A 21500-nucleotide genomic window follows, 5' to 3' on the forward strand; every position below is an offset into this window, starting at 1 on the left:
TCTTTTTCTAAATGGGTACTTTATAATTCATAAGAAATGCAGAGAACTTTCATTCTAACAAGACTGTTCACTACACTATTCTCTACCCTTTTTTGAGAGGCATAAACACTTTCATTCCTAACATAGTTACCTGTTCTCATAACCTCCCTGGGAGAAAGGGAGAGTGAATTTTATTTCCAGAAGAGCAAATTCAGGCACAAAGAGGACAGATAAACTGTCAACAGTCACCAGGGAAGCCAGCAGAAGGGCTGAGAGCAACACTCTTGCCTCTAGCATCAAGTGTGTTATTTACCTGCTGAACCCTCGAGGGTCTGAGCTGGCAGGCTTTCCTGAGGGTGTGGCGGCAGGGCCTGCATTCTTGTCTCTATTGTCCTGTACTGTTTACTTGCAGGATGTGGAAGCACAGCATGTAATGTAATACCAGATGTTCTACGTGGGAGGAATTTCATAACTCATACATTTTAGCATGCTTTTTTCTAACTGCGCCCATCTCCTTTCATGCAGCACAAAAATGTAAATCTGTTTCCCAAACTACTACCAGGTCCTGGAATCTAAAAGGAAATACTGGTGGTTCTTTGGTATTTTTCACTTTTAGTTGAAGCACACATGTGGATGTCTAGGGTAACATCATGTGGATTCTTCTTATTTTTTAAATGGCTCCTATTGTAGTGGCCCAGAACAGCTGGGGAATGTCCGAGGGCCACAGGCTCACTGGCCTAGATTAAGGCCTCTACTCACTGATGAGGCCTCCCTATCCAAACTCACTGTCCCTCCTCCCGAGCTGGTACCCATTATCCTGAGTGGGCTAGCTGCCTCTCTCTTCCATAGACACTATGCTCATCCTGCCCTGGTGCCTCTGCTCATTTAGTTTTCCCTTTCTGAAATATCCTAGCTCTTCTCTTCCCATCTCTAAATCCTAGCTGAGCTCTGGCCCCACCTCACATCAGCCCACTAAACTTGCCTTTCTCTGCACTGCTGGAGGGGACAGCCTCCGCACCCTATGACTTTAGCACTTAACTCTGTGCATGTGTGTATGTATGTTCCCTTGTCCTGTCTCCGCACTAATCTGCAAGATTTCTGAGGGCAGGAAGGGACCATTGTGTAGACTTACCTGAATTCCCTATGTTGCCTAGGAACAGATAGACATGGATGGGGCGATTTGAGCTTTAGATTTTAAGGAGCCTGAGTAGAAAGAACAGGTGATTTTGTTTATTTGGCTGTTTCCGTTAGGGACGGGGATGGCTGTGGATTTCAGTTTGAGGTCCGAGTTGCTGCATGAGGTGGAGGTGGAAACACACACAAATCTAGGTTTCCCCACAGTCCATCATGACATTTCACCATAGCAGTAGTGCTGGTCTAAATGTGATGGGAGCACTGACCTCTGCTGGAATGCTCTCTGGCCCATCTCTCTAGCAGCTCTCTTGACCTCTTCGGGAACTGCATCTTTCTCAGCCTGAGAGACCTGGTACACCGTATGGCCTGCATCCAGCCGGTAAGGGCCTCCTTTGCCACCCAGGCCTGCCGTGTCTCTTCCCCCTGGAAGGAAAACGTGGAAATTCAGATGATAAATCTGAACTTGACCACAGAACAAAAGTTGGGTCATGGTTTTAGGACAGCCTTGTGGAGGATATTAATTGTACTTAACTAGTAATTAAACAGTCAAATTACCTTCTGGAAAAAGATGTATTCTCTTGTTTAGGATGCTTTTCCTTTTTCCCATCCATTAAAATACTACCTATATATCAAGGCTTACTCCAGCTTCTATGACACCTTAGCTAATGCTGCTACCTCATAAGGATCCATACTCTTGTGTACTATTTGTTATCCTTTCATATTTATTTTTCTCACCAACTATATGATGGATGAGATATTTTATTTACTTTTGCACTACCGCACCTATAAGAGTGGTTTGAATATCATAGATACTTAGTATATATTTGCTAATTAAATGAACAACTGTTTCCCTCCCTCACATATTACCTTAGTTTTCCTTAAAAAACCTAGACAGTTAAGCTATAAATACTGTTTTTTTCTGTTCTGCAAATTATAAAAATAATGCACAGAGAGGCTAAATGACATATTCAGGACCTCGTATCACTGGCTTAGCCAAGATTAGAAGCCAATTATTACACCAACTTTGACTTCTGGTTTGAACAATATATAACATAAACACCATCAGCTTTAGAACAGTCTTTCAATAGAAACTCAAGTTTACATAATACATATTACATATACATATTACGTTTTATAACATAACATTGTATGAACTGTTCATATTGTAAATGCCTGTAAGGCCAGGTAGGTCATATGATAAAAAGTGGTGGGGACATTGGCTAACTTAGGATTTACCTTGTCTAAATACATGAAAATTGAAATTATTTTAAAACACTACATGGACCAGAGAAAAAAACACATCTGTTGGCTAGATTTGGCCTTTGGGCTATAAGATTGTTACCCCTATTTAGGGGTAGATTAGAATACTAGTAACCTGTTTCTTTTGTTCATTCACGTATAACTTGAGAACTTAGAAGGGAATCCAATATTGGAGGGGCAGTATAGTATAATACACTGCTATTGTAGAGTATATTATGATATAGTTAAACCAGACTGCCTGGGTTTGAATCCTGGCTCCAACCCACCAGCCATTTATCTTTGGGGAACTACTTAACTTCTCTGTGTCTCAGGCTCCTCTTTATAAAGTGGGGATACTAATATTATTTACTTCATGGGATTGTCATGAAGCTAAAATGCTTAGAGCAGTATCTGGCACATAATAAAAGCCATATAATGGACTGCTTTTACTATTATTATTAAACAAAGCCTAGTTACACAGAATTAGGCAATTTCTAGTTTTATAAAGTGGAAAATTTGAAGGCTTTTAGACTTTGGGTAAATTATGTTACATTTTTCTTTCACCATCACCACCCCCACCTCCACCTTACCACTGAGCTTTAACTGGTCTAACAAAACTAAAACCAAGAACTCAATATGAACTGCTTTCCTTATGAAAGTCCAGGTAGGTCATTTCCTTTTGGGAAATACCATGAGAACTGCCTATTAATTACACTACTTTAATCTTTTGATTGGAACATATTTCACTTTTATTTAGAAATGGGTGGTGGAAAATTCCTTCTGGGATGTGTGTGACTCCCATTTCTTACTCATGGCCAGCCAATAGGCAGAGGGGTACAGTAACTGGACAGTGACAATGAGCTATAGGAGGAAAAGGTGTTTCTGGGATCTAACTCCTTTCCTACAGGAGGGTATCCTGAGTATGGGTGGATCATGAATTTGAGCTGAAAGCTTCCTAGGTGCTGAGATGTTATCATTCTGGTGAAAGGGAGAAAGTGGTGGAACCATCAGAAGCTGGTGTGAGTGACTGGCCACCTGAGTCGCAGGGCCCCAGGCAAAGTCACACTGGGGTGGAGCAGGAGGTGCTCTTCATGATCTCCACTTCCCAGAGCCTTTAATTTGTACTATTTAAATGAAAGTGCTTACCAGAGGTTCTAAGACTGCAGGGCATAAGCCTGGACATTCCAAACCACTTCAGAAGATAATGGGGAGGGTGGGCAAGGGAGGAGCATTGATGAAGAAAGGGGAATCAAATGACTTGTTGGGCCAGAGCTCAGTTCAAAGTAAAGAATTCTGAGGGAAAAGAATGGCAGAGAGAAAAAGAGAAATTGAAGCCAAGGAGCCTTGATCAATTGAAAACTAAAAGCCAGGTGAAACAAATGTAGCCTCAATCTGGACAGATACGTGAGCTAGTAAATTCAAGTTTGGTAACAAATAGGAATTTCTCCCCCAGAGTAGTCCACTGCTGGGAAACCACATCTGGCCAGCTCGTCCCACAATGCATTCCATATGGATTAAATCTTGTTGGCTTGACGCTAACTTCCAGATCAAAGGACATTTCTAAAAATAGCCTTACTTTAAAGCTGATGCTTGATGAATAAACAGAGTAGGCAAGAAGTCCACAGGCCTATTTGATAGCACATTGTCTAAGCAGAGAAACCCATTTCCTCCCGAGGCTGTCAAGGCCAAGAGGCACAGACCATCCTAAGGAAGGTGAAGTACAGAGCTCCTGCCAGCACTCCTCATGGTGAGATAAGCTCAGACAGTGCGCACACAGTCTGGCCCTATTCCTGTGGACTCGCAGATGTGTCTGCTCCAGCTGCCGCAGAGGAAAAAGGAAGACGGCAGTCCTGGGAACAATGCCCTAGTTGGGCAGCCAAGAGGAAGGAGTCGGCCATCGGTTTAGACTGCAACCAGCCTTATCTCGAAATCTTGCATCCTCAACGTACTTCGAAGATGTGGAAGACAAGGACCATTTCTTTTCAGTCAGTTGCTGAAGAAAGAATTTACTGTGGATTTCTGGCATGATCCCAAGGTCATGGAATTTAAAAGAAGGGATTAACACTTTAGTGAAAATATTCTTCATGCCAGGCACTGTGCTCAGTGCTTAACAATCGTAATCTCATTTAATCCTCACCACAATTTAAGGTAGTTCACACTATCCCCCTTTGACTGATGAAGCAACTCCAGGAGGGTCAGCATGTTCTTAGGTCACAGGGTGGCAGAGCCTGTGGGACTCCAAATGCCAGGCTCTTCACATGCCTTGATGTCACGCTGGGGCAGAGGGCAAGACAACAATCCAACTGAGTAATGAGGGAGGCTGAGAAGGAAAGCCCGTCTCTGAGTCTTCTCAGGGGCGATGTGCTGGCCTAATGGGCTTGGGAAACCTGGGGAAGGCTGACTCAGGAGAATGCCTGTGCTACCAACCTGTTCCGCCAGCCCAAGTGTTGCCGCCCACGTGAGGCATGTTGTCTGGGTCCTCCTTCCCGTGTTTGGGGGAGCTTACATCTTCACCACTGTCTCTGTTGATTGTTATCTAAAAATGAACAATTGAGACATTTTTACTATCCTGTGACAAACACCAGGGACTGCATGACAGAAAAAAAAATTATTTTCTCCTAAGTCCTTAAGGTATCACATAACCTCAGGCCACTGGACTTGATAAATGCTGTGAGTATTTGGCAAAAATTCCATCAGATGGATTCCAACATCCATCTAGTTGGGAAGAAGAACTAATTTTTTAAAAAACTCTTAAAGAAAAGTAAAGGAGCTGGACTGCATTATAGCTACAGAATTTTTCTGGTGCAAACCAAGCTGTGAGCATTTACACATGGCATGAGACTTACCAGATGCAGGGAAAATGGATCTCACTGGAGAGGGGTATTTTGCCAGTGGTTTAAAAGGATCACCACCTAGCTGATCCAGCTGAGTCATTATATACACACTTACCCATTCTGTTTTCAAAGAAATCCCATTACTCTGAGAGATGCCATTTTACATATAATATATGGAAAAGAAAAACAAAAAGTTATGTATGTATGCCTTAGTGATAGATTTATGTTATATACTAAAAACTGCTTATTTATTTTTTTGACCCACTTCAATTTTTATTATGGTATTTTGTAGCTTTCCTAATTCATCTTTATTGTAAAACTAGATTTATGATTCCTGCAATTCAAATAGAATAAGAAGTACTTTAGCCTTCCTCTGTGAGAGCCTGAAGTTCATTGCTTCCTATTTCATTCAGTACAGTGTCACCAAAAGGAGTGACAACCACACAGAAATTTCAATCCTAGTAGTCAGTTCAGTAGATACTACTCCACAATAAATCAAAGCATTCACATTTTATGCACACCATGAGCCTGCTCTCAGATGCAATGATTTCCCAGAAGACAAGATCAAATTCTCATTCATTTGTTCAAATAAGACTTAAAGAAAATGTACTGATGGAACATTCTGTGAGGTACCATGGGGCCTACAAAGCCATTGACGATTGGTTCCTGCCCTCAAACTGCTTACAGTGGAACAAGAGAGCTTACAAATAAATGGGCCTGAAGTCAGTCTTTAGAGTTAACCATTCCATGTTGGTATATGGGATTTTCATTCTTGATGTTGGGATTAATGCAGTTAGGTAGGTAATTTGAGGTCTTTGCAAATAAAATGGCCATTCAGAATAAAATCAAGACAACTTCTACTGTCTTACGTCCAAGTTGGTTCATTTCAAGTGTTATGACATCGTAGGGATTTTAATTAGCTGGACTTTTCTGCAAATAGCTTCGGCAGGATCAACAAAGTTTTTGCCAAAACTTCAGCATACTCCAAGAAAATTTAGCAGCCAGACATGACAATTGATATAAATTCCACACACATAATCATGCTCTAAAAATGGGTGAAAATAATTTTTCCTCCTGTTTTCTTAAACAAGCAAGATAGCTAGGAACATTTAGAGAAAAAAAAAACATTTAAAATACTTTCCCAAAAACTTGCCACCATTTTTCAACTCGTTTATAAATAATGTAAGAGATAAGCAGTAAATTAAAATACATATACTGGCTACAAGAATTCCAGAAGAGCACTAATCAATAAAATTTTCTGTGTTGATGAAAATGTTTATATTTGAGGTGACCAATATGGTAGTCACTAGCCATTAGCTCAATATGGCTGTGAGCATGTGAAATATGGCTTGTGCGACTGAGGACCTGAATTTTAAATTTTATTTAGCTAACTAAAATTTAAATTTAAATAGCCATGTGTGCCACTGGCCATCTCATCAGACAGCGCAGCTCAGGCACAAGCTTGCCTCAGACCTGGAGATCCTGTTTAGAGATCTTTGCAGCACCCTCTAGATGTACTCCATGAGAAATGAGAAGGACAAAGAACATTTCAAAACTGGTACAGTTTTATTCTGTTGCTAATTTAATAAATCTATATGAGTCTGGGCGCAGTGGCTCACACCTGCAATCCCAGCACTGCGAAAAACAAAACAAAACAAAAAAACTATATGAAAGGTATGATTACAGTCTAAATTTTTTTAAAACAAACAGAATGGAACTTACATATGGAGATACTATTTTTTTTTTTTCTTTTTGAGATGAAGTCTTGCTCTGTCACACAGGCTGGAGTGCAGTGGTGCAATCTTGGCTCACCGCAACCTCCACCTTCCAGGTTCAAACAATTCTCCGGCCTCAGCCTCCCAAGTAGCTGGGATTACAGGCACCTGCCACCACGCCCAGCTAATTTTTTTATTTTTAGTAGAAACAGGGTTTCACCATGTTGGCCAGGCTGGTCTTGAACTCCTGACCTCAAGTGATCCACCCGCCTTGGCCTCCCAAAGTGCTGGGATTACAGGCATGAGCCACTGTGCCAAGATACATTTTTTTTTAAATAATAAGAAGATACTTTATTTTTTAATCATAAAGACACAATTTATTTTTACTTTTTATTTTATTTTTAATTATACTTTAAGTTTTAGGGTACATGTGCACAACGTGCAGGTTTGTTACATATAGTATACACATGCCATGTTGGTTTGCTGCAGTCATTAATTCGTCATTTACATTAGGTATTTCTCCTAATACTATCCCTCCCCCAGCCCCCCGCCCTGTGACAGGCCCTGGTGTGTGATGTTCCTCGCCCTGTGTCCAAGTGTTCTCATTGTTCAATTCCTACCTATGAGTGAGAACATGCAGTGTTTGGTTTTCTGTCTTTATGACAGTTTGCTCAGAATGATGGTTTCCAGCTTCATCCATGTCCCTACAAAGGACATGAACTCATCATTTTTTATGGCTGCATAGTATTCCATGGTGTATATGTGCCACATTTTCTTTATCCCGTCTATTATGGGTTGGTTCCAAGTCTTTGCTATTGTGAATAGTGCCGCAATAAACATACGTGTGCATGTGTCTTTATAGTAGCATGATTTATAATCCTTTGGGTATATACCCAGTAATGGGATGGCTGGGTCAAATGGTATTTCTAGTTCTAGATCCTTGAGGAACTGCCACACTGTCTTCCACAATGGTTGAACTAGTTTACAGTCCCACCAACAGTGTAAAAGCGTTCCTATTTCTCCACATCCTCTCCAGCACCTGTTGTTTCCTGACTTTTTAATGATTGCCATTCTAACTGGTGTGAGATGGTATACCATTGTGGTTTTGATTTGCATTTCTCTGATGATCAGTGATGATAAGCATTTTTTCATGTGTCTTTTGGCTGCATAAATGTCTTCTTTTGAAAAGCGTCTGTTCATATCCTTTGCCCACTTTTTGATGGGGTTGTTTGACTTTTTCTTGTAAATTTAAGTTCATTGTAGATTCTGGATATTAGCCCTTTGTCAGATGGGTAGATTGTAAAAATTTTCTCCCATTCTGTAGGTTGCCTGTTCACTCTGATGGTAGTTTCTTTTGCTGTGCAGAAGCTCTTTAGTTTATTTAGATCCCATTTGTCTATTTTGGCTTTTGTTGCCATTGCTTTCGGTGTTTTCGTCATGGAGTCCTTGCTCATGCCTATGTCCTGAATGGTATTGCCTAGGTTTTCTTCTAGGGTTTTTATGGTTTTAGGTCTAACATTTAAGTCTTTAATCCATCTTGAATTAATTTTTGTATAAGGTGTAAGAAAGGGATCCAGTTTCAGCTTTCTACATATGGCTAGCCAGTTTTCCCAGCACCATTATTAAATAGGGAATCCTTTCCCCATTTCTTGTTTTTGTCAGGTTTGTCAAAGATCAGATGGTTGTAGATGTGTGGTGTTATTTCTGAGGCCTCTGTTCTGTTCCATTGGTCTATATCTCTGTTTTGGTACCAGTACCATGCTGTTTTGATTACTGTAGCCTTGTAGTATAGTTTGAAGTAAGGTAGCGTGATGCCTCCAGCTTTGTTCTTTTTGCTTAGCATTGTCTTGGCAATGTGGGCTCTTTTTTGTTTCCATATGAACTTTAAAGTAGTTTTTTCCAATTCTGTGAAGAAAGTCATTGGTCGCTTGATGGGGATGGCATTGAATCTGTAAATTGCCTTGGGCAGTATGGCCATTTTCACAATATTGATTCTTCCTATCCATGAGCATGGAATGTTCTTCCATTTGTTTGTGTCCTATTTCATTGAACAGTGGTTTGTAGTTCTCCTTGAAGAGGTCCTTCACATCCCTTGTAAGCTGGATTCCCAGGTATTTTATTCTCTTTGTAGTAATTGTGAATGGGAGTTCACTCGTGATTTGGCTCTCTGTTTGTCTGCTATTGGTGTATAGGAATGCTTGTGATTTTTGCACATTGATTTTGTAACCTGAGACTTTGCTGAAGTTGTTTATCAGCTTAAGGAGATTTTGGGCTGAGACAATGGGGTTTTCTAAATGTACAATCATGTCATCTGCAAACAGGGACAATTTGACTTCCTCTTTTCCTGATTGAATACCCTTTATTTCCTTCTCTTGTCTGACTGCACTGGCCAGAACTTCCAACACTATGTTGAATAGGAGTGGTGAGAGAGGGCATCCCTGTCTTGTGCCAGTTTTCAAAGGGAATGCTTCCAGTTTTTGCCCATTCAGTATGATATTGGCTGTGGGTTTGTCATACATAGCTCTTATTATTTTGAGATACGTTCCATCAATATCTAGTTTATTGAGAGTTTTTAGCATGAAGGAGTGTTGAATTTTGTCGAAGGCCTTTTCTGCATCTATTGAGATAATCATGTGATTTTTGTCTTTGGTTCTGTTTATGTGATGGATTATGTTTATTGATTTGCGTATGTTGAACCAGCCTTGCATCCCAGGGATGAAGCCAACTTGATCTTGGTGGATAAGCTTTTTGACATGCTGCTGGATTCAGTTTGCCAGTATTTTATTGAGGATTTTTGCATCGATGTTCATCAGGGATATTGGTCTAAAATTCTCTGTTTTTGTTGTGTCTCTGCCAGGCTTTGGTATCAGGATGATGCTGGCCTCATAAAATGAGTTAGGGAGGATTCCCTCTTTTTCTATTGATTGGAATAATTTCAGAAGGAATGGTACCAGGTCCTCTTTGTACCTCTAGTAGAATTTGCTGTGAATCCGTCTGGTCCTGGACTTTTTTTGGTTGGTAGGCTATTAATTATTTCCTCAATTTCAGGGCCTGTTATTGGTCTATTCAGGGATTCAACGTCTTCCTGGTTTAGTCTTGGGAGGGTGTATATATCTAGGAATTTATCCATTTCTTTTAGATTTTCTAGTTTATTTGCACAGAGGTGTTTACAGTATGCTCTGATGGTAGTTTGTATTTCTGTGGGATCGGTGGTGATATCCCCTTTATCATTTTTTATTGCATTTATTTGATTCTTCTCTCTTTTCTTCTTTATCAGTCTTGCCAGCGGTCTATCTATTCTGTTGATCTTTTCAAAAAACCAGCTCCTGGATTCATTGATTTTTTGAAGGATTTTTTGTGTCTCTATCTCCTTCAGTTCTCCTCTAATCTTAGTTATTTGTTGCCTTCTGCTAGCTTTTGAATTTGTTTGCTCTTGCTTCTCTAGTTCTTTTAATTGTGTTTTTAGGGTGTTGATTTTAGATCTTTCCTGCTTTCTCTTGTGGGCATTTAGTGCTATAAATTTCCCTCTACACACTGCTTTAAATGAAAGACACAATTTTTACAATAGTCCTGCCACAGCCCCAAGGACTTCTGGGCTGCTTTCAGAAGCATCTTCAGAATCTATGGCTGGTTTTTAATATCTTTCATGGTGACATTTATGTATTCTTTAAAAACAGATTTGATTTTTAATAAATAGTCAAATGACACTTAGAGTTGAATTCTGGTGGAAGCTATTTGCTAACTTGCTGGTAAACTTTGGCAAGTCAAGTAAGTTCTCCGGACCTTCATTTTCACATCAGAAACTAAGGAGGTTAAACTGAATTATTTCTACCATTACACCCAGCTTTGATGTGCTGTGACTGATTCAATGATTTCAAATCTGGTAAATAAGGTGATCAAAGTAGGGTTTTCATTAAAACCAGGTACAATTATATAATAATGAGACAACTGACAGCTTCTCATTTACAATGGTTTGACATAACTTTTCAACTTTACAATGGGATGAAAGCAATACACACATTCAATAGAAATCATACTTCAATTACCCATACAACTATTTTGCTTTTCACTTTTAGTATAATATTTAATAAGTTATATGAGATATTCAACACTTTATTATAAAATAGGCTTCATGTTATATGATTTTGTTCAACTGTGGGCTAATGTAAGTGCTCTGAGCATGTTTAAGATAGGCTAGGCTAAGCAATGAAGTTTGGTAGATCTGGTGTATTAAACACATTTTCAGCTTACCATATTTCTAACTTACGATGGGTTTATTGGGATGTAAGCCCGTTGTAAGTCAAGGAGCATTTGTAGTTTGCTTATATGCGTTAAGACTCTTCTGTAGGCCAATTCTAAAAGAGAAGTTCCAAAAATAGTCTAAACAATTGGAAGAACCATTCTGAACACCATTCCTCACTTTGTGGGGCATGTGTGTGTATTCTGGTACACTATTTAAAAATAAATTTTAAAAAACCAGAAGAGGTATGAAAGGCAAATTCCTATGTGTCTACTAACTTTACTTTCATCAAATATTATCTCCCTAAGACATTTCACACAATCCAGTTATTCTGCTGTAAGAGAACAGTCTTTTAAGAATAAGTACTACAAATGAAGGCACAAAGTAAAAGAAAAGGCCCCTCAAATAGCCTCCCTCAGTTACCTTCAAAATTACGCTGTTGAAGTTGCAAAGAAACCTATAATGGCCATGAGGGAGGCAGAAGACAGGTGACAAAATTTCTGGGCAGAAAGGAATTGGCATGTTCTTTGCCACCTGTGTGTCTTGCCAGGCCGTCTGCTGGGAAATCGGGCTGTTCACATTGCCAACACAAGGCAGTTTCACACCAACCCCAAATAGGAGCCCAGAGATGTTTCAAAATCGACAAATTCTTGACAAAAACATCAGCCAAAACCTGTTATGTTCCAGGGACAATTCCAGGGATGTTTAATTAGAAGGAAGGCACTTAGCTTATCTAATTTTGTGTCATTTTATGAATGCCACTCACTCACTCACAGGAATATAGTTCTTTAGGTGGATGGGAGGAGTACATATGTCAAGAAGTTTTCAAAGCCATTTTAGGACACCTCTTACATCAATTGACAATGATTCATAAAAGATGCAAGTCAGGAATTCTAGGACAGTCCAACCCAGGACAGAAAGAAACTGGAACATACTCAGGGAGGCTTATCATTTGAGGAATTTTGTTTCCTGGGACAGCCATGTGGTAGACAGCCAGTAGCCATTCAGAAAGTTGATAAGCTGCTGTTTGCTTTCATGTGCGTGTTGAAAAGCATTTGGAATGTACTTCCTTTGAGAGCTGGTTTCATCTAGAAAAAGCTCAAGTAAGTAATTCCAATTACTGACATAAACACTACTGAATTCACTTAAAGGGATCAAAAATTTCCCCAAAAAAGAAAATATTATGGCCCCTTATAACTTTTGATGCAACCCGATGCTGAGCCCCTTGATGTATTTCTCACAGCTGACACAATCTGCTTTCTTTTAGGTAAGTGTGCTATAATCGTAAGAATCATTATCCCCTTACATGTGAATTAAAATGGAAAAAACATGGATCTTGTAAATTACAACTCATAAAAATGTTCCAGAGTAAAGCCAGCACAGGGAAGGGACATGACTCACTGAAGCCCTGTAATTCTGGGCAAGGCCCATATATTTTAGGCTCCTCCTTGAGTTCATGACTTTTAAAAGCCATCAATAAAATGATATAAATAGCCAGATTATAATCCTGGAAGAAAAGTGAGCTTTTGGAGGTATGACTGGACAACACAGCTGGAGACTAGTGTGGCAAAGCAGACATTTCTCATGTGAGCCTACCTCACGTTCATTTCCTCTTTTTTCCTTTTAAACAGAAGTCGGATATATCATGCTTGGCTGGAATTAAGCACAATAATCCCATTCTCCTTTGTCAGTGACTGGTCTAGGGGAAGCCACGTGGTCTGAGACGTGAGGGAAAGTCTGTCAGGATGCTTCTAGGAAGCCTTCCCAGGTAAAAGAAGAGATGGTTGTGAGAAGAGCTTCTCACTGTCCTGGATGCACTGCTCTCTTGTCCCCTCCAACACACACACATACACATACACCCACTTCCTGCCTTGGGACACAGTTGAGTGAGAATATGATGCATAGAGCTGTAGCATCCACATGGTGACCATGTGTTAACAAGAGGATGGCAGATTAGAAGGCTGGAAGAGTCTATGCCCCAATGACATTGTTGAGCTGCTGAACCAGCCCTGAAGTCACTTGTCTCTAATCTCCTATGTAAGTAAATAATACATGTCCTTATAGTTAAGCCATTGTTATTTGGGTTTTCTGCTACTTGGAGTCAACTGCATGCAAACTAACTGATTCATGTATTAAGGGATGAATGAGAGGCAGCAGGGCAGAAGCTACTGTCTTGATCTTCCTGAGGATGTCCTACTTCTAACGAGACATGCTTTGAATTTTCTGACATTAAAAATTACCATAACAGCATCAGCACAGAAATCCTAATTATTACAGTTGCCCACTATCTTCTTGATTGATTAACAGGCAACTGAATGTATTCATTCACTCATACTCTTGTGCAAACATTCCTATGTATGTGTGTGGTGCATCTAGTACTCACGTGGGATACAGAGATTTCTCACACAGGATCTTTACTTCTAGGAGGATATTGTGTAAAAGGGAACAAAGTCACAGCACAAGATGATACAGGCTATGATAAGGTTCTGAATATACCTGCCTAAAACAAAATATTGTCTGAGGTTATTGTACCCATAGGTTAGAAATTTCTTTCATAGGCATAAAATAAGATTGATAGATGGCTAGCTAGATTAATAAAGAAATAAGAGAGAAGATCCAAATAAACACAATTAGAAATGACAAAGGTGACATTACCACCAACTCCAGAGAAATACAAAAAAACCCCTCAGAGACTATTATGAACACCTCTCTGCACACAAACTAGAAAATCTAGAAGAAATGGATAAATTCTTAGAAACATACAACCTCACAAGATTGAACCAGGAAGAAATTGAATACCTGAACAGACCAATAACATGTTCAGAAATTGAATCAGTAATAAAAAAACCTACCAACCAGAAAAATTCCTGGACCAGATGGATTCACAGCTGAATTCTGCCAAATGTGTAAAGAAGAGCTGGAACTAATCCTACTGAAATGATTCTCAAAAAATCTAGGAGGAGGAACTTCTCCCTAACTCAATCTATGCAGCTAGCATCATTCTGATATCAAAACCTGGTAGAGACACAATGAAAAAAGAAAACTCCAGGCCAATATCCCTGATGAACATAGCTGCAAAAATCCTCAACAAAATACTAGCAAATCAAATCAAGCAGCACATCAAAAAGCAAATCTATCACAATCAAGTAGGCTTTAATATTGGGATGCAAGGCTGGTTCAACATATACAAATCAATAAAGATGATTAATCACATAAACAGAACTAAAAACGAAAACCACATGATCATCTCAATAGATGCAGGAAAGGCCTTCAATAAAATTCAACATCCCTTTATGTTAAAACCCTTAACAAACTAGGCATTAAAGAAACACACTTCAAAATAATAAGAGCCATCTATGACAAACCCACAGCCAACATCATACTGAATGGGCAAAGGCTGAAAGCATTCTCTTTGAGAATCGAAACAAGACAAGGATGCCCTCTCATTACTCCCATTCCACGCGGCACTGGAAGTCCTAGCCAGAGCAATCAGACAAGATGAAGAAGTAAAAGGCATCCAAATAGAAAGACAGAAAGCAAACATCTCTCTTCTCCAATGATATGATTCTATACCTATAAAACCCTGTAGTCTCTGCCCAAAGGCTCCTAGAACTGATAAACAACTTCAGTAAAGTTTCAGGATACAAAATCGATGTACAAACATCAGTAACATTTCTATACATCAATAACGTCCAAGCTGACGGCCAAATCAAGAATGCAATCCCATTCACAATAGCCACAAAAAGAGTAAAATACCTAGGAATATCATTAACCAGGGAGGTGAAAGATCTCTACAATGAGAATTACAAACACTGCTGAAAGATGACACAAACACACACAAATCAAACACTCATAAATTAAAGTAATGGCAACAAAAGCCAAAATTGACATATGGGATCTAACTAAACTAAAGAGCTTCTGCACAGCAAGAGAAACTACCATCAGAGTGAACAGGCAACCTACAAAATGGGAGAAAATTTTCGCAACCTACTCATCTGACAAAGGGCTAATATCCAGAATCTACAATGAACTCAAACAAATTTACAAGAAAAAAACAAACAACCCCATCAAAAAGTGGGCAAAGGATATGAACAGACACTTCTCAGAAGAAGACATTTATGCAGCGAAAAAACATATGAAAAAATGCTCATCATCACTGGCCGTCAGAGAAACGCAAATCAAAACCACAATGAGATACCATCTCACACCAGTTAGAATGGCAATCATTAAAAAGTCAGGAAACAACAGGTGCGGGAGAGGATGTGGAGAAATAGGAACACTTTTACACTGTTGGTGGGACTGTAAACTAGTTCAACCATTGTGGAAGACAGTGTGGCGATTCCTCAGGGATCTAGAACTAGAAATACCATTTGACCCAGCCATCCCATTACTGGGTATATGCCCAAAGGATTATAAATCATGCTGCTATAAAGACACATGAACACGTATGTTTATTGCGGCACTATTCACAATAGCAAAGATTTGGAACCAACCCAAATGTCCAACAATGATAGACTGGATTAAGAAAATGTGGCACATATACACCATGGAATACTATGCAGCCATAAAAAATGATGATTTCATGTCCTTTGTAGGGACGTGGATGAAGCTGGAAACCATCATTCTCAGCAAACTATCGCAAGGACAAAAAACCAAACACCGCATGTTCTCACTCATAGGTGGGAATTGAACAATGAGAACACATGGACACAGGAAGGGGAACATCACACTCTGGGGACTGTTGTGGGGTGGGGGGAGGGGGGAGGGATAGCATTAGGAGATATACCTAATGCTAAATGACGAGTTAATGGGTGCAGCACACCAACATGGCACATGTATACATATGTAACAAACCTGCACATTGTGCGCATGTACCCTAAAACTTAAAGTATAATAATAAAATTAAAAAGAAAACACTCATAAATCAGAGATGACACAAACAAATGGAAAAACATTCCATGCTAATGGATAGGAAGACTCAACATTGTTAAAATGGCTATGCTGCCCAAAGTAATTTGCAGATTCAATGCTATTCCTATCAAACTACCAATATCATTTTTTCACAGAATTAGAAAAGGCTCTTTTAAAATTCATAAGGAACCAAAAAAGAGCCAAACAGCCAAAACAATCCTAAGCAAAAAGAACAAACCCATAGGCATCACACTACCTGACTCCAAACTATAGTACAAGGTTATAGTAACCAAAACAGCATGGTGTTGGTATAAAAACAGACACATACATTAATGGAGCAGGTTAACGAACCCCAAAGTAAAGCTGCACACCTACAACCATCTGATATTTGACAAAGCCAACTATAACAAGAAATGGGGAAAGGATTCCCTATTGAATAAATGGTGCTGGAATAACTGGCTAGCCATATGTGGAAGATTGAAACTGGATCCCTACCTTTCACCACATACAAAAATCAATTCAAGATAGATTAAAGGCTTAAACATAAAACCTAAAACTAAAAAAACCCTAGACAAAAACCTAGGAAATACCACTCTGGACATAGGCCTTGGCAAAGATTTCATGACAAGGACTCCAAAAGCAATTGCAGCAAAAACAAAAATTGGTAAGTGGAACCTACTTAAACTAAAGAGTTTCTGCACAGCAAAAGAAACTATCAACAGGGTAAAGAGACAACCTATGGAGTGGGAGAAAATATTTGCAAACTATGCATCCAACAAAGATCTAATATTCAGAATCTATAAGGAACTTAAATGAATCAACAAGCAAAAAAAACAAACAACCCATTAAAAAATGGGCAAAGAGACACTTCTCAAAAGAAGATGTACACGTGGCCAAAAAGCATATGAAAAAATGTTCTATGTCACTAATTATTAGAGAAATGCAAATCACAACCACAATGAGATAACATCTCACACCAGTCAGAATGGCCATTATTAAAAAGTCAAAAAGTGGCCTTTGAGACCCTATGCTCAGGCCCGCTCCCAGACTGTAATGTGTACTTTCATTTTCAATAAAACCCCAATTCTTTCCTTGCTTTGTTTGTGTGTTTTGTCCAATTCTTTGTTCAAGACACCAATAACTTGGACACCCTCCACCGTTAACATATTTTGGTGAACCAGCCAGGAGGAAGAGTCAAGCAGGTTCGCTAGGGCCGCTCAGGGAGAGAGAACCTAGAAGCCTGGCATGCTGGCAAAAGGGTAAAAAAAGCTTTTTATGGTTTGAATCTTCTGGAAACATCAGAGAAAGACTGTCCTTGCCATCCACACTACAACAAAACTTCGGGAGCTTGAACTTTGGGTTCATGGTGTTGCAACTGAGAAGGGCCCCTCCACACTGGAACAGTGCACCCACTGGAACCATGAGAGACCATCAAGCTTCAGATGATCATGCAACAAAGGCTCCAGTCAGTTCCAGGTGAAGACACCACCACTGGCCATCAAGAAACTACCCTGCCTCCACTAGATAGAGCAGAGTGAGAGTTCCGTGATCCCCAATAGGTAAAGACTACGCCCCAGGTCAGCATGAAGCAGTTACAGAAAAAAAGACCATCGGTCCCTCTCCTTCCCATAAAGATTTATGAGGATCACATCTCTAAGTGGGGAGATGATGCAGGAAAATAGAGTCTGGAAGCAGGGAACATAGGCCGATTCACACTTTAGCTATAACAGGAAATATCCTCTCCATAGGGCATACACCGAGTAAATGACTTTGTAACTTTTCTTCATCCACTTGATTTACATAGGGTGTACCCCAAGTAGAGGTATTTAAACTCACAAAATCTCTGTAACAGGGCCTTTGAGCTCCTATGCTCAGGCCCATGCTGTGGAGTGTCCTTTCATTTTCAATAAAACCCTTCATTCCCTCCAAAAAACAAAACAAAACAAAAAAAGTAAAAAAATAACAGATGCCAGAGAGGTAGCAGAGAAAAGGGAACACTAATACACTGCTGATGGGAAGGTAAATTAGTTCAGCCACCATGGAAAGCAGTTTGGAGATTTCTCAAAGATCTTAAGACAGAACTACCTACCATTCAATCCAGCAACCCCATTATTGGGTATATACCCAAAAGAATATAAATTGTTCATTTATGTGAACAATGTATATATATTCACATTTATAAAGTGCATATAAATTATGCACATAAATTCATACACATTTAAAATGTGCATGTATGCTTATTGTAGCACTTCCCACAATGGCAAAGACATTAAATTAACCTAGGCTCCCATCAACAGTGGACTGGATAAAGAAAATGTGGTACCTGTACACCCTGGAATACTATGCAGCCATAAAAAAAATAAAATCATGTTTTTTGCAGCAACATGAATGCAGCTAGAGGCCATTATCCTAAGCAAATTAATGCAGGAACAGAAAGTCAAATAGTGCATGTTCTCACTTATAAGTGGGATCTAAACATTAAATACACATGGGCATAAAAAAGGGGACAACAGGCCGGGCACAGTGGCTCACGCCTGTAATCCCAGCACTTTGGGAGGCCAAGGTGGGCAGATCATGAGGTCAAGAGATCGAGACCATCCTCGCCAACATGGTGAAATCCCATTTCTACTAAAAATACAAAAATTAGCTGGGTGTGGTGGTGTGCGCCTGTAGTCCCAGCTACTCGGGAGGCTGAGGGAGGAGAATCACTTGAACCCAGGAGGTGGAGGTTGCAATGAGCCATGATCGCACCACTGCACTCCAGTCTGGCGACAGAGCGAGACTCCATCTCAAAACAAAAAACAAAAACAAGCAAACAAACAAACAAAAAAACGGGGGGACAACAAACACCAGGGCCAACTGAGGGTGGAGGTTAGGAGATGAAGACTGAAAAACTACCTACTATGCAATCCCATTCACAATAGCCACAAAAAGAGTAAAATACCTAGGAATATCATTAACCAGGGAGGTGAAAGATCTCTACTATGCTCACTACCTTGGTGACAAAATCATTTGTACACCAAATCCCAGTGACATACAACTTACCCATGTAACAAACCTGCACATGTACCCTCTGAACCTAAAATAAAATATGGAAGGAAAAAAAAGTAAAGAGCTATAACATTGTATTGTGCTCTAAAAATTAGAGGGAACAGAGCAGCTTAATTACAAGTGGCCAGTTTTTCAGCTTTATATTCTTATGCTTGTTATGAGATCAATAAAAATTATTTCCTGATTTTCTAGTTCTAAACATGCCAAGAAAACAACTGCCCTAACCTGGTATGCTAACATTAATAAATCATAATTATGTTCTCAATACTGTAATAAAAGTGTACAGCAGCCTGAAAAAAGAAATTTCTTTCATAGATATATACAATGAAAGTCACATAATATTTCCCTAGGAATGATGTTTTTTCACATGAAGTCAGCTGGCTAAATAACAACAACAAAAAGGGCTGACCACCACCCAGTTTTCATTAATAACCAGTATGTTCTACAATGATAACACATGACAAAAATACCTTTATTGCACAGGTAGCTTCTATGTGTTTCAACTTCAACCTCTGGCAAAGCCATTAAGTATGCAATTTATCTTCAGTTCTTCCTTGGCTTGGTGGTAATATTTGCCTTCAAATACTCAATGACCCTCTGCCCTCTTTAATCCCTCAACACCCTTAAAAAGCAGAAAAGCATCTGACTTTTGGTCACTCATAGCTACAAATTATACTGTAGCTGATATTCATTCATACTAAATAATTAACCTCAGTGGGCATTTCTATTTTAAGTGCCTTTATAAGTAACTGAAAAATAAAGCCTTGTTTTCTTTGTTAGAAAGTTTGAGAATCAGTAAGGAGGCAGAGGTAGTGGGTTGGGAGCATATGAGGCCTATTCCCTGGTCCTAAAGACAAATGCCTATTAGGGCGACTTGTGATAATACAGGTGAGAAGGAGAATGAATGGTCCATGGTTTGTCTTGCAGAAGTCCTGTCTTCTGGCATAGAAAGGGTTTCTTTCCTTTTCAAATCAACCATCAGCCCCTCCTTGTTGACTGTGAGCTGGACCCTTTTGCCAACCTCCCTATACCAACCCAACTCAGTCTCACCCTCCACCTCTCCACACCAACCCAACTCAGTCTCACCCTCCATCTCTCTATACCAACCCAAATCAGTCTCACCCTCCTTCTTCTTTCTGCTTGAACACTCGTAGAGGCTTAAGAATATTTTGATTTCTAGCACAAGTGATATGCTTGATAAACATTTAAAAACATTTGAAACTATAACCAAAGCCACTCCCCCTCCCCTTCTATCTAGATGTTCTGAAACACATCCCTATAGGCATCTTTATTATTTTTCTGAGTTTACAAAATCTCTGACAAAGAACTTTCTCACTGGAATGACCTTCTTCCGTAAGTGCTATTATCGTGCAACAAAAACACCCAGTCTAGTGAAAATGAGCAAAACTTTATATATTTTACAGACTTGGGATAAAAGGAGAAAAAAAAGTTTATTAATATTTTACTTTACCTTTTATTAACTGATGTAGTAGTTGTTAACAGTGGCATATACATATAGCCTTGTACATAAGAGGTGCTAAATAAATATGTATTGAATGCAAGCATGGGAGTCTGCTCAGTAACAGGAAACTAAGAATTTAATCTGCATACAATCTTTTCCACAGTAAAGTGTCATCTGAGTGCCTGATGGGACTCTTTCCAGCTCTGCCTGCCAGCCCATAATTGGCACACAGTGGGGCCACTGGTCAGCAGAGAGCCATCTTCTTCTTTATTTTTTGAGACAGAGTCTCACTCTGTCACTCAGGCTGGAGTGCAGTGGTGCGATCATGGCTCACTGCAGCGTCAACTTCCCAGGCTCAGGTGATCCTCCCACCTCAGTTTCCCAAGTAGCTGGGATTACAGGCACACGCTACCACACCTAGCTAATTTTTGTATTTTTTGTAGAGCTGGGGTTTCACCGTGTTGGCCAGGCTGGTCTTGAACCTTTGGGCTCAAGCGATCCTCCCACCTAAGCCTCCCAGAGTGCTGTGCTTACAGGCATGAGTCACTGTGCCTGGCTTAGAGAGCCATCTTCTAACAGGGGCAGGAAACCCTGTTAGCTCCGGGTTATTCTTAAATCCTGATCCTGCTTCACCCTCAGCTTGACTTTGACCCCTACCAAGGTCTCAGCTCAGTTAGTTTCAGGCCGAGCTCCTCACTGGGCCTTACATGGACTCCCTGTCATAGCCTCTGAGTCTATAGGTGATGACCTCTCTTCTTACTTCCTGGTCCAAACAGAGTTGTTTGAAAGGCTGTCCAAAATAAAATTATAGGCTCGTAGAACTCATCCAAAGCAACTGCTCATTTTACTTAGAGTACCTTATTTATTCATTCTCTTCTATTTAAATTCAAGTAGGAATGAAAGATGAAGAAGATTTTTGGAAAATCTGGGAATAT

At 39.7% G+C, this 21500-nt stretch overlaps 1 protein-coding gene across 1 annotated transcript in view, besides 1 other annotated feature; it reads right to left on the minus strand.

Moving 5' to 3' along the window:
- The window catches only part of VWA8 (von Willebrand factor A domain containing 8), a 394275-nt gene that overhangs the window by 43362 nt on the left and 329413 nt on the right, over nucleotides 1–21500 (minus strand). Inside the window, exons 38-39 of the mRNA NM_015058.2 lie at nucleotides 4780–4888; nucleotides 1380–1536 (exon numbers count right to left, since the gene is read on the minus strand). Of these exons, the coding sequence (NP_055873.1) occupies nucleotides 1380–1536; nucleotides 4780–4888 (266 nt within the window). The remainder of the gene's footprint in view (nucleotides 1–1379; nucleotides 1537–4779; nucleotides 4889–21500) is intronic.
- Nucleotides 4218–5210: an enhancer, noted in NCBI's record as "H3K27ac-H3K4me1 hESC enhancer chr13:42188550-42189542 (GRCh37/hg19 assembly coordinates)". NCBI's record gives its function as "activates a minimal SCP1, AML or CMV promoter by ChIP-STARR-seq in primed H9 embryonic stem cells {active_cell/tissue: H9 hESC(primed)}" and the evidence as "EXISTENCE:reporter gene assay evidence [ECO:0000049][PMID:30033119]".

This window comes from Homo sapiens, chromosome 13 (assembly GCF_000001405.40).
Source record: "Homo sapiens chromosome 13, GRCh38.p14 Primary Assembly".
Classification (NCBI taxonomy): domain Eukaryota; kingdom Metazoa; phylum Chordata; class Mammalia; order Primates; family Hominidae; genus Homo; species Homo sapiens.